Source organism: Homo sapiens, chromosome X (assembly GCF_000001405.40).
Source record: "Homo sapiens chromosome X, GRCh38.p14 Primary Assembly".
Taxonomy (NCBI): domain Eukaryota; kingdom Metazoa; phylum Chordata; class Mammalia; order Primates; family Hominidae; genus Homo; species Homo sapiens.
In genome coordinates, this window is record NC_000023.11 from 155514345 (window position 1) to 155528754 (window position 14410).

The 14410-nt window shown below is 39.1% G+C and overlaps 1 protein-coding gene across 7 annotated transcripts in view; it reads right to left on the reverse strand.

The window, feature by feature from the left end:
- Positions 1-14410, reverse strand: part of TMLHE (trimethyllysine hydroxylase, epsilon) — a 123942-nt gene that overhangs the window by 25334 nt on the left and 84198 nt on the right. For all 7 annotated transcript variants that reach the window (XM_047442235.1, XM_047442234.1, NM_018196.4 and 4 more), the window contains one exon: positions 10112-10288. In XM_047442235.1, coding sequence (XP_047298191.1) covers positions 10112-10265 — 154 coding nt within the window. In that variant the 5' untranslated portion in view covers positions 10266-10288. The remainder of the gene's footprint in view (positions 1-10111; positions 10289-14410) is intronic.

The window sequence follows — 14410 nt, forward strand, 5'->3', positions numbered from 1 at the left end:
ATCTTTTTCCTAGCAATCAGTTATCCAGTACTGTATTGTTTATGAAACCAAATTAAAATGAATGCCTAGAATGTTTCTGAGAAAGAAATATGTGTGGTTTGAGTGGTATGCATGAATAAATGAATGAACAAATAAATCTTCCCAGAGGCTAAATAAGTTTACAGAATTATAGTTATATAGTAAAAGATCTTCTGGAAAATTCATCAAGTCATCAAAGAATGATAATCCAAGTAGGCTTTTACAAGCCTACTTGGCACTCTCTCCCCTTGCCCCCATCCCTGTCTTCCATCTATATAGGAACTCAGAATGTTTGAGCTAGAAGGGGCTAATCTTTATTTTACAGATGGAGAAAAAGTCAGTGACTCACTCAAGATCACACAACTAAGTACTATAGGTGGAACTAGAACCCCACCTTCTTGCTGCTACAAGTTCAGTACTATTCAATGCTGCCTTCCTCTTCTACATGATGTAGGACATTGCTGTCTAATTATATGACATCAACACAATACAATAAAATTACTTTGTAAGTGGCTTCACCTGCTGTGCACACCCCACCCAAAAAAAGTTGAAAACCAACCCTGAAATGCTTTAGAAAATCTTCAGGATAAGCAAAGGAAGCAGCAGAAGGAGTGAAAGACTATGTTGACAACTTGTCTCTCCTTTTTACTTCTCTCTCTTTTCCTCCCTCCCCTTGGTAAAAAAGTATCACACTTTGGATAATTTGGAAAGCATAAAAAAGTATGAGGAAATTAAAAGTCACCATGTTTATCATTCTATCACCCAGATGAAACTATGATTGACAGCCTGGCATCATTCCTTCCAGTTTTTCTGTACATTCTCTTATTTTATGTAATTTATGTATATAAATATAGTTTATGTAATTTATATATATAAAATTTGGGACTCTGCCATTGTCACTTAACATTTTAACAATTTTTAAAATTAAATTTTATCATTTTAAAAATTCAACCTTCATTAAAATTAATTTTTAAAGCTTACAAAATATACATTACCAAGATTTACCTAACCCATCTGTTATTCTGGGTATGTACATTTATTTTTAAAAAATTTCCTATTATTTATTAGTGATCATCTTTAACCATATTTCTATAATTTAGAAATAGAATGTATATTACATTTCTTAAAAGTTCGTATCTTTGTATTTAGAAATTTCAAAGATATAAACTTTTAAGAGTTCTGATATACATAATCAAATTACTTTTTAGAAAGTCTACTTATCTTCATTCCCTCCAACAGTACATATGTGTCCATCAAAATGGAGTATTCTTATTTTTAAAATATATTTTTTTCTAATTTGGTAACTAAAGTGGAACTGCTATCTTGTAATAATTTTAACTTATTTGCTTACTAAGGCTAATAAGAATACTTTCTATATTTGTTAGACATCTATGTTTCTTTAATGCAGGGACTACCAAACTATGGTTGATGAGTCAAATCTGGTGCTTGGTTTTGTAATGCCTGTTTCAGAACACATGCTGTCCATGTTGTTACATATTGTCTATAGCTCCATTCACTCATATAGCCCACAAAGTTTGAAAATATTTACCATCTGGCTCTTTATAGAAAATGTTTGCTGACTCCTGCTTTAATGATTTGTCTGTTCAGTCCTTTCTCACATTTTTCTATTGGAACAATTGTACTTTTCTTCTTTTTTTTTTTTTTTTATTATACTCTAAGTTTTAGGGTACATGTGCACATTGTGCAGGTTAGTTACCTATGTATACATGTGCCATGCTGGTGCGCTGCACCCACTAATGTGTCATCTAGCATTAGGTATATCTCCCAATGCTATCCCTCCCCCCTCCCCCGACCCCACCACAGTCCCCAGAGTGTGATATTCCCCTTCCTGTGTCCATGTGATCTCATTGTTCAATTCCCACCTATGAGTGAGAATATGCGGTGTTTGGTTTTTTGTTCTTGCGATAGTTTACTGAGAATGATGGTTTCCAATTTCATCCATGTCCCTACAAAGGATATGAACTCATCATTTTTTATGGCTGCATAGTATTCCATGGTGTATATGTGCCACATTTTCTTAATCCAGTCTATCATTGTTGGACATTTGGGTTGGTTCCAAGTCTTTGCTATTGTGAATAGTGCCGCAATAAACATACGTGTGCATGTGTCTTTATAGCAGCATGATTTATAGCCCTTTGGGTATATACCCAGTAATGGGATGGCTGGGTCAAATGGTATTTCTAGTTCTAGATCCCTGAGGAATCGCCACACTGACTTCCACAATGGTTGAACTAGTTTACAGTCCCACCAACAGTGTAAAAGTGTTCCTATTTCTCCACATCCTCTCCAGCACCTGTTGTTTCCTGACTTTTTAATGATTGCCATTCTAACTGGTGTGAGATGATATCTCATAGTGGTTTTGATTTGCATTTCTCTGATGGCCAGTGATGATGAGCATTTCTTCATGTGTTTTTTGGCTGCATAAATGTCTTCTTTTGAGAAGTGTCTGTTCATGTCCTTTGCCCACTTTTTGATGGGGTTGTTTGTTTTTTTCTTGTAAATTTGTTGGAGTTCATTGTAGATTCTGGATATTAGCCCTTTGTCAGATGAGTAGGTTGCGAAAATTTTCTCCCATGTTGTAGGTTGCCTGTTCACTCTGATGGTAGTTTCTTTTGCTGTGCAGAAGCTCTTTAGTTGAATTAGATCCCATTTGTCAATTTTGGCTTTGGTTGCCATTGCTTTTGGTGTTTTGGACATGAAGTCCTTGCCCATGCCTATGTCCTGAATGGTAATGCCTAGGTTTTCTTCTAGGGTTTTTATGGTTTTAGGTCTAACATTTAAATCTTTAATCCATCTTGAATTGATTTTTGTATAAGGTGTAAGGAAGGGATCCAGTTTCAGCTTTCTACATATGGCTAGCCAGTTTTCCCAGCACCATTTATTAAATAGGGAATCCTTTCCCCATTGCTTGTTTTTCTCAGGTTTGTCAAAGATCAGATAGTTGTAGATATGCGGCATTATTTCTGAGGGCTCTGTTCTGTTCCATTGATCTATATCTCTGTTTTGGTACCAGTACCATGCTGTTTTGGTTACTGTAGCCTTGTAGTATAGTTTGAAGTCAGGTAGTGTGATGCCTCCAGCTTTGTTCTTTTGGCTTAGGATTGACTTGGCAATGCGGGCTCTTTTTTGGTTCCATATGAACTTTAAAGTAGTTTTTTCCAATTCTGTGAAGAAAGTCATTGGTAGCTTGATGGGGATGGCATTGAATCTGTAAATTACCTTGGGCAGTATGGCCATTTTCACGATATTGATTCTTCCTACCCATGAGCATGGAATGTTCTTCCATTTGTTTGTGTCCTCTTTTATTTCCTTGAGCGGTGGTTTGTAGTTCTCCTTGAAGAGGTCCTTCACATCCCTTGTAAGTTGGATTCCTAGGTATTTTATTCTCTTTGAAGCAATTGTGAATGGGAGTTCACCCATGATTTGGCTCTCTGTTTGTCTGTTGTTGGTGTATAAGAATGCTTGTGATTTTTGTACATTGATTTTGTATCCTGAGACTTTGCTGAAGTTGCTTATCAGCTTAAGGAGATTTTGGGCTGAGACGATGGGGTTTTCTAGATAAACAATCATGTCGTCTGCAAACAGGGACAATTTGACTTCCTCTTTTCCTAATTGAATACCCTTTATTTCCTTCTCCTGCCTGATTGCCCTGGCCAGAACTTCCAACACTATGTTGAATAGGAGCGGTGAGAGAGGGCATCCCTGTCTTGTGCCAGTTTTCAAAGGGAATGCTTCCAGTTTTTGCCCATTCAGTATGATATTGGCTGTGGGTTTGTCATAGATAGCTCTTATTATTTTGAAATACGTCCCATCAATACCTAATTTATTGAGAGTTTTTAGCATGAAGGGTTGTTGAATTTTGTCAAAGGCTTTTTCTGCATCTATTGAGATAATCATGTGGTTTTTGTCTTTGGCTCTGTTTATATGCTGGATTACATTTATTGATTTGTGTATATTGAACCAGCCTTGCATCCCAGGGATGAAGCCCACTTGCTCATGGTGGAAAAGCTTTTTGATGTGCTGCTGGATTCGGTTTGCCAGTATTTTATTGAGGATTTTTGCATCAATGTTCATCAAGGATATTGGTCTAAAATTCTCTTTTTTGGTTGTGTCTCTGCCCGGCTTTGGTATCAGGATGATGCTGGCTTCATAAAATGAGTTAGGGAGGACTCCCTCTTTTTCTATTGATTGGAATAGTTTCAGAAGGAATGGTACCAGTTCCTCCTTGTACCTCTGGTAGAATTCTGCTGTGAATCCATCTGGTCCTGGACTCTTTTCGGTTGGTAAGCTATTGATTATTGCCACAATTTCAGAGCCTGTTATTGGTCTATTCAGAGATTCAACTTCTTCCTGGTTTAGTCTTGGGAGAGTGTATGTGTCGAGGAATGTATCCATTTCTTCTAGATTTTCTAGTTTATTTGCGTAGAGGTGTTTGTAGTATTCTCTGATGGTAGTTTGTATTTCTGTGGGATTGGTGGTGATATCCCCTTTATCATTTTTTATTGTGTCTATTTGATTCTTCTCTCTTTTTTTCTTTATTAGTCTTGCTAGCGGTCTATCAATTTTGTTGATCTTTTCAAAAAACCAGCTCCTGGATTCATTGATTTTTTGAAGGGTTTTTTGTGTCTCTATTTCCTTGAGTTCTGCTCTGATTTTAGTTATTTCTTGCCTTCTGCTAGCTTTTGAATGTGTTTGCTCTTGCTTTTCTAGTTCTTTTAATTGTGATGTTAGGGTGTCAATTTTGGATCTTTCCTGCTTTCTCTTGTAGGCATTTAGTGCTATAAATTTCCCTCTACACACTGCTTTGAATGCGTCCCAGAGATTCTGGTATGTGATGTCTTTGTTCTCGTTGGTTTCAAAGAACATCTTTATTTCTGCCTTCATTTCGTTATGTACCCAGTAGTCATTCAGGAGCAGGTTGTTCAGTTTCCATGTAGTTGAGCGGCTTTGAGTGAGATTCTTAATCCTGCGTTCTAGTTTGATTGCACTGTGGTCTGAGAGATAGTTTGTTATAATTTCTGTTCTTTTACATTTGCTGAGGAGAGCTTTACTTCCAACTATGTGGTCAATTTTGGAATAGGTGTGGTGTGGTGCTGAAAAAAATGTATATTCTGTTGATTTGGGGTGGAGAGTTCTGTAGATGTCTATTAGGTCTGCTTGGTGCAGAGCTGAGTTCAATTCCTGGGTATCCTTGTTGACTTTCTGTCTCGTTGATCTGTCTAATGTTGACAGTGGGGTGTTAAAGTCTCCCATTATTAATGTGTGGGAGTCTAAGTCTCTTTGTAGGTCACTGAGGACTTGCTTTATGAATCTGGGTGCTCCTGTATTGGGTGCATAAATATGTAGGATAGTTAGCTCCTCTTGTTGAATTGATCCCTTTACCATTATGTAATGGCCTTCTTTGTCTCTTTTGATCTTTGTTGGTTTAAAGTCTGTTTTATCAGAGACTAGGATTGCAACCCCTGCCTTTTTTTGTTTTCCATTGGCTTGGTAGATCTTCCTCCATCCTTTTATTTTGAGCCTATGTGTGTCTCTGCACGTGAGATGGGTTTCCTGAATACAGCACACTGATGGGTCTTGACTCTTTATCCAACTTGCCAGTCTGTGTCTTTTAATTGCAGAATTTAGTCCATTTATATTTAAAGTTAATATTGTTATGTGTGAATTTGATCCTGTCATTATGATGTTAGCTGGTGATTTTGCTCATTAGTTGATGCAGTTTCTTCCTAGTCTCGATGGTCTTTACATTTTGGCATGATTTTGCAGCGGCTGGTACCGGTTGTTCCTTTCCATGTTGAGCACTTCCTTCAGGAGCTCTTTTAGGGCAGGCCTGGTGGTGACAAAATCTCTCAGCATTTGCTTGTCTATAAAGTATTTTATTTCTCCTTCACTTATGAAGCTTAGTTTGGCTGGATATGAAATTCTGGGTTGAAAATTCTTTTCTTTAAGAATGTTGAATATTGGCCCCCACTCTCTTCTGGCTTGTAGGGTTTCTGCCGACAGATCCGCTGTTAGTCTGATGGGCTTTCCTTTGAGGGTAACCCGACCTTTCTCTCTGGCTGCCCTTAACATTTTTTCCTTCATTTCAACTTTGGTGAATCTGACAATTATGTGTCTTGGAGTTGCTCTTCTCGAGGAGTATCTTTGTGGCGTTCTCTGTATTTCCTGAATCTGAACGTTGGCCTGCCTTGCTAGATTGGGGAAGTTCTCCTGGATAATATCCTGCAGAGTGTTTTCCAACTTGGTTCCATTCTCCACATCACTTTCAGGTACACCAATCAGACGTAGATTTGGTCTTTTCACATAGTCCCATATTTCTTGGAGGCTTTGCTCATTTCTTTTTATTCTTTTTTCTCTAAACTTCCCTTCTCGCTTCATTTCATTCATTTCATCTTCCATTGCTGATACCCTTTCTTCCAGTTGATCGCATCGGCTCCTGAGGCTTCTGCATTCTTCACGTAGTTCTCGAGCCTTGGTTTTCAGCTCCATCAGCTCCTTTAAGCACTTCTCTGTATTGGTTATTCTAGTTATACATTCTTCTAAATTTTTTTCAAAGTTTTCAACTTCTTTGCCTTTGGTTTGAATGTCCTCCCGTAGCTCAGAGTAATTTGATCGTCTGAAGCCTTCTTCTCTCAGCTCGTCAAAATCATTCTCCATCCAGCTTTGTTCTGTTGCTGGTGAGGAACTGCGTTCCTTTGGAGGAGGAGAGGCGCTCTGCGTTTTAGAGTTTCCAGTTTTTCTGTTCTGTTTTTTCCCCATCTTTGTGGTTTTATCTACTTTTGGTCTTTGATGATGGTGATGTACAGATGGGTTTTCGGTGTAGATGTCCTTTCTGGTTGTTAGTTTTCCTTCTAACAGACAGGACCCTCAGCTGCAGGTCTGTTGGAATACCCTGCCGTGTGAGGTGTCAGTGTGCCCCTGCTGGGGGGTGCCTCCCAGTTAGGCTGCTCGGGGGTCAGGGGTCAGGGACCCACTTGAGGAGGCAGTCTGCCCGTTCTCAGATCTCCAGCTGCGTGCTGGGAGAACCACTGCTCTCTTCAAAGCTGTCAGACAGGGACACTTAAGTCTGCAGAGGTTACTGCTGTCTTTTTGTTTGTCTGTGCCCTGCCCCCAGAGGTGGAGCCTACAGAGGCAGGCAGGCCTCCTTGAGCTGTGGTGGGCTCCACCCAGTTCGAGCTTCCCGGCTGCTTTGTTTACCTAAGCAAGCCTGGGCAATGGCGGGCGCCCCTCCCCCAGCCTGGTTGCCGCCTTGCAGTTTGATCTCAGACTGCTGTGCTAGCAATCAGCGAGATTCCGTGGGCGTAGGACCCTCTGAGCCAGGTGTGGGATATAGTCTCGTGGTGCGCCGTTTCTTAAGCCGGTCTGAAAAGCGCAATATTCGGGTGGGAGTGACCCGATTTTCCAGGTGCGTCCGTCACCCCTTTCTTTGACTCGGAAAGGGAACTCCCTGACCCCTTGCGCTTCCCAGGTGAGGCAATGCCTCGCCCTGCTTCGGCTCGCGCACGGTGCGCACACACACTGGCCTGCGCCCACTGTCTGGCACTCCCTAGTGAGATGAACCCGGTACCTCAGATGGAAATGCAGAAATCACCCGTCTTCTGCGTCGCTCACGCTGGGAGCTGTACACCGGAGCTGTTCCTATTCGGCCATCTTGGCTCCTCCCCCCAACAATTGTACTTTTCTTACAATTTAGCAAAAGCACCTTACATATTAAGGATATTTAGTCTTCGGCATACATTTTGCTAATATTTTGCCTGTTTTTAAATAAACCTTTCTATGGCATTTTTTTTCTATTGTAGAGAAATTAGTAGTCAATGTATGCATCATAAGCATGTTTTTTCCTCCAATGCTTTTTCTTTTAACTTTTTTATTTGGAGATAATAGATTCACAGGATGTTGAAAAGAAATGTGTAGGAAAGTCCCATGAGCTCTTCCCCTTCCTTGATGTTAACTTGTTATATAACCACACTACAATACCCAAACCAAGAAAGTGGTATTGGTACAATCCATTGGGCTTATTCAGATTTAACCAGTTAAACATATATTCATTTGTGTGCATAGCTCTATGCAGTGTAATTACATGTGTAACTTTGTGTAACCACCACCAAAATCAAGATACTCAACCATATGACTCCTTCGTGTTACCCTTTTACAGCTACATCCGCCACCTCCTACCCCCGAATCCCTAACTCCTGGACACCAATAATCTGTTCTCTACCTCTATAATTATGTTATTTCATGACTGTTACAAACATGAAATCATGCAGATTGGCTTTTTCACTTCAGCATAATGTAATTGAGGTTCTTCCAAGTTATGTATCGAACTAGTTCCAATAAAGTTGCTGAGTAGGATTTTATTGTATGGATGGTTTGTTTAACCATTAACCCATTGGGTAGTTTCCAATTCTTGGCTATTACAAATAAGGCTGATGTGAACATTAATGTACAGGGTTTTATGTGAACATAAGTTTTCATTTCTTCGGGATAAATGCCCAGAAGTGTGATTTCTGGGTTGCATGTTTAGTTTTTTTTTTTTAAGAAATTACCAAACTGTTTTCCAGAGTGTACCATTTTACATTCCCATAAGCAATGTATGAGTGATAGAATTTCTCTGCATCTTCTCTAGTATTTGGTGTAGTCACTGTTTTTTAATGTAGTCATTCTGATAGGTATGTAGTGCAATCTCATTGTGATACTAACTTTCATTTCTGTAACAGCTAATAATGTTGAACATCTTTTCATGTGTTTATTCGCCATCTGTATATCCTATTCAGGAAAATGTCTGAGCATATCTTTTATCCATTTTTAAATTGTATTGCTTGTTTTTCTGCTGAGTTTTAAGAGTTATTTAGTCCTAGCGCCAGTCAGGACCTTAAGATGTTCTCATATGTTCTTTTCTTGAAGTTTTATAGTTTTATGTTTTACGTTTAAGTCCGCAATCTACTATGATTTTTTTTTTATATAAGGTGTGAGACTTGAGTTGAGGTTCTTTTATTTTTTCATTATGGATGTCCAATTGCTCTGGTACCAATTACTGAAAAGATTATCCTTCCTCTATTGAATGACTTTTGCACTTTTGCCAAAGATAAGTTGACTATATTTCTGTGGATCTATTTCTGGGTTCTCTATTCTATTCCATTGATCTATGTATCTGTCCCTCCACCAATACCACATTGTCTTGATTACTGCAGTCTGGAAGTGATTTCTTCCCACTTAATTCTTCATTTTCAAAATTGTTTTGCCTCTCCTAGGGCCTGTATATTTCCATTTAAATTTTAGAGCAAGCTTGTTTATAATTATAAAAAAAATCTTGCTTATATTTTGACAGGAATTGCATTAAAACTATAGATCAATTTGGAGAAAACTGACATCATTACTATGTTGAGTCTTCCAATCCATGAACATGATTTGTTTCTCCATGTATTTATGTCTTCTTTGATTTCTTTCATCAGCATTTAATAATTTTTATCATACAGATCCTATACATATTTTGTTAGATTATACCTAAATATTTAAATTTATTTGAAGCTATTTTTGAAATGGTCATTTTTCATTTCAGTTTCTGCATGTTTAAGTATATAGAAATATGATTGATTTTTGTGTGTTGATCTTGTGTCCTCTGACCTTACTGAACTCATTTATTAGTTTTCACGGTTTTATTATAGATTACTTGAGGTAGTCTATGTTAGGATGTCATGTATCTGCAAATAAAGAGTTTTATGTATGAATTTTATTAATTTTTCTTGACTTACTATAATAGAATTTTCAGTACTATGATAAATAAGAGTGGTGAGAGTGGATGTTAAATAATAGTGGTAAGAATGGGCATCCTTGCCATGTTCCCTGTCTTAGAGGGAAAGCATTAAGTCTCACTATTAAGTATAATGTTAGCTGTGGATTGTAACAATTTTATTTGAAGAGAAAAATAAAATGTTTCAAAAAATCCTTCCAAAACAAGAAAAAAAGAAAAGTAAGTAATAACCTATTTTTGAAAGGAACAAACCATTTTCCACAAAATAACTGTCCTTCAGAAGAGTACCCCCAAAGAAGATCAAGTCTCCTGTCCACTCACAAGTGAAAAAGAGTGTGGTCTCATCCAGACGAATGGTCTTTGGCTTGATACATAAATCCACACTGGCAGTATCCAGGCTGCGCTGGTGAGTCTTAGAGTTGTAGCACGATGCTGAGCGGCAGTGGTCTCGAAGCCAGACGTAATCAAAGCGCATCACGGTATTAGCATATTTCAGCTCTAGGGAAAAGATCACATTTATCAGAACTATTTATTGAGATAACTTTAAAAAATCAGCATCCAGAAAACTTCCTTCTAAAAGTCTTCTACCAATAAGCAATAAGGGTTGAGGGGAGGGACTTGCCCCTTACCAGATATTAAAATATACTGTAGAACTTCTATAATTAAAATGGTGTAATGTTGTATTTAAATAGATAAAATGATGGAAGAGTATAAAAAGCCCAGAAATATACCCAAATGCATATGGAAATCTGGTATGTAATAAAGTGACAGCAAAAGTCATTGAGGAAAAAATGAATTTTTTAAATAAATGGTGTTGGGACAACTGATAGAACTTGGGAAAAGATAAATTTGTGTCTGTATGTCATGTTGTCACAAGGTTATCAAGATAAACTCAAAATATATAGGAGTACTAAATTTAGAAAATGAAACCATTCAAGGATCAAAAGAAGGAAGCATAGGTGCGTAGAGGATATATATATGAGGTGATATGGTTTGGCTCTGTGTCCCCACCCAAATCTCATGTTGAATTGTAATCCCCAGTGTTGGGGGAGGGACCTGGTGGGAGGTGATTGGATCATGGGGGCAAATTTCCCCCTTGCTGTTCTCCTGAATGTGACGGAGCTCTCACGAGATCTGGTTGCTTTAAAGTGTGTACACTTCTGCCTTCACTTTCTCCTGCTTTGCCATGGTAAGGTGTGCTTGCTTCCCCTCACCTTCCACCATGATTGTAAGTTTCCTGAGGCCTCCCAGCCATGCTTACTGTACAGCCTGCAGAACTGTGAGTCAATTAAACCTCTTTTCTTCATAAAGTACCCAGTTTCAGGTTGTTCTTTATAGCCATGTGAGAACAAACAAACACAGAAAATTGTTACCAGAGAAGTGGGGCATTGCTATAAAGATACCTGAAAATGTCGAAGCAACTTTGGAACTGGGTAACAGGCAGGGATTGGAACAGTTTGGAGGGCTCAGAAGAAGACAGAAAGGCGAGGGAAATTTAGGAACTTCCTAGAGACTTCTTGAATAGTTTTGACCAAAATGCTGATAGCGATGCAAACTGTGAAGTCCATACTGAGGTGGTCTCAGATAGAGATGAGGAACTTATTGGGAACTGGAGTAATGGTCACTCTTGCTATGCTTTATCAGAGACTGGCAGCATTGTGCCCCTGCTCTAGGGATTTATGGAACTTTCAACTTCAGAGAGATGATTTAGGGTATCTGGCAGAAGAAATGTCTAAGTAGCAAAGTGTTCAAGATGTGGCCTGGCTGCTTCTAACAGTGTATGCTCATATGCATTTGCAAAGAGATGGTATGAAATTGGAACTTATATTTAAAAGGGAAACAGTATGAAAGGTTGTAAAATGTGCAGTGAAACCATGTGGTGGAAAACAAACCATTTTCTGGGAGGAATTCAAGGCTGCAGAAATTTCCATAAGCAAAGAGAAGCCAAATGTTAATATCCAAGACAATGGGGGGGAAATGTCTCCAGGGCATGTCAGAGACCTTTGCAGGAGCCCATCCCATTACAGGCCCTGAGGCCAAGAGGGAAAAAAGAGTTTTGTGGGCCAGGCCCAGGGCCCTACTGCTCTGTGCAGCCTTGGGACATGGCCCCCATGTCCTTTGGCTCTGTGTCTCAGCAGCTCCAGCTCTAGCCATGGCTAAAAGGGACCAAAGAACAGCTTGGGCCATTGCTTCAGAGGATGCAGGCCCCAAGTGGTGGCTTCCATGTGTTGTTGGGCCTATGGGTGCCCAGAAGGCAGGAGTTGAGGCTTGGGAACCTCCGCCTAGATTTCACAGGATGGCTGGAAATGCCTGGATATCCAGGCAGAAGTCTATTGCAGGGGCAGAGCCCTCATGAAGAACCTCTACTAGGGCAGTGTGGAGGAGAAATGTGGGGTTGGAAGCCCCACACAGAGTCCCCACTAGGGCACTGCCTAGTGGAACTATGAGAAGAGGGCCACCATCCTCCAGACCCCAGAATGGTAGATCCACCAACAACTTGCACTGTGCACCTGGAAAAGCCACAGCCACTCAATGCCAGCCTGTGAAAGCACCCCCAGGGCTGTATCCTGCAAAGCCACAGGGGCAGAGCTGCCCAAGGCCGTGGGAACCCACCCCTTGAATCAGCATACCCTGGATGTGAGACATGGAATCAAAGGAGATTATTTTGGAGCTTTAAGATTTAACGACTGCCCTGTTGGGTTTTGAACTTGCATGGGGCCTGTAGCCCCTTGGCTTTGGCCAATTTCTCCCATTTGGAATGGGAGCATTTACCGAATGCCTGTACCCCCATTGTATCTTGGAAGTAACAAACTTGTTTTTGATTTTACAAGCTCATAGGTGGAAGAGACTTGCCTTGTCTCAGATGAGACTTTGGACTTGAACTTCTGAGTTAGTGCTGGAGTGAGTTAAGACTTTAGGAGACCGTTGGAAGGCGTGATTGGTTTTGAAATGTGAAAAGACATGAGATTTGGGAGGGGCTAGGAGTGGAATGATGGAATGATATGGTTTGTCTCTGTGTCCCCACCCAAATCTCATGTTGAATTGTAATCCCCAATGTTGGGGGAGGGACCTGGTGGGAGGTGATTGGATCATGGGGGCAAATTCCCCCCTTGCTGCTCTAATGATAGTGAGTTCTCATGAGATCTGGTTGTTTAAAAGTGTGTAGCACTTCCCCCTTTGCTGTCTCTCTCTCCTTCTCCACCATGGTAAGACATGCTTGCTTGCCCTTTACCTTCTACCAAGATTGTAAGTTTCCTGAGGCCTCCTAGCCATGCTTCCTGTACAGCCTATGGAACTGTGAGTCAATTAAACTTCTTTTCTTCATAAATTAACCATTCTCTGGGAGTTCTTTATGGCAGTGTGAGAACAGGCTAATACAGGAGGTCCTTGTACTATTTTAGCAACTAACCTTCTGTTAATTTGAAGTTATAGCAAAATAAAAAAATTACAAAAAAAACAAAGACTTTCTATACATCAGGTTACTCATTTAGAAAAGGTAAATAAAGTGTGTGACCCAATTTACAAAAGAAAAGAAAAAAATAAGTTATGCCTTCATATAATTCAAAAAAAATAAATTTCTGATGGATTAAAGTACAAAAAATTAAAACTGTAAAACATTAAATGTTGACAACCTTGAGGTAGGAAAGGCTGTTTTAATATGACACAAAAGGCACAGAGATAAATTAATCTATATTAAAATAAATACCTTCTGTTCTGCAAACAATATAAAAGCAAAGTTAAAAGAGAAGTAACAGGAAAAATATTTGTAGCATAAAAGGATTAATATCCAGCATACAGAATAAACCTCTGTGATCATTAAAGATAAAAACCCAACAGAAAAATAGGTGAAGGATATCAATAAGGAAAGTCACCAGAAGTGACGGGCAAACGTATGAACTGCCCCCAGCCTTGGTAATAATCAAAGAAATGGGTATTTAAACCAAAATGTGATACCATTTTATACCCATCAGAGCAATAAAAATTTTAAAGGCTGATTAAAATGTGTTTTAAAGGATGTGGGGAAAAATGCATACTTGCAAACATTGGTAGTAGGAGTATATATTGTTAAAGTTATACTAGATGGCAATCAGCAAGTTTCTATGAAAATAATTTAAAATGTGCATATTTGACCTAGATATTCACCTCTCAGTATTTATTTTTTTCTCTTGTACTTTATTTATTTATTTTATCTTTTAATATTTTTTTTTATGTCAGTAGCTTCTGGGGCTCAAGTGGTTTTTGGTTACATGGATGAATTGTATATTGGTGAAGTCAGAGATTTCAGTGCACCCATCACCCGAGTAGTGTACACTGAAACTGATATGTAGTTTTTTATTCTTTATCCCCCTCCTTCCCTCTCCCCTTCTGAGTCTCCAGTGTCCATTATACCACTCTGTATGCCTTTGCATAACATAGCTTAGCTCCCACTTGTAAGTAAGAACATACAGTATTTGGTTTTTCATTCCTGAGTTACTTCACTTAGAATAATGGCCTTCAGCTCCATCCAAGTTGCTGCAAAATACATTATTTCATTCTTTTTTATGGCTGAGTAGTATTCCATGGTGTATATATACATTTTCTTTATCCACTTATTGGTTGATGGGTACTGAGATTGGTTCC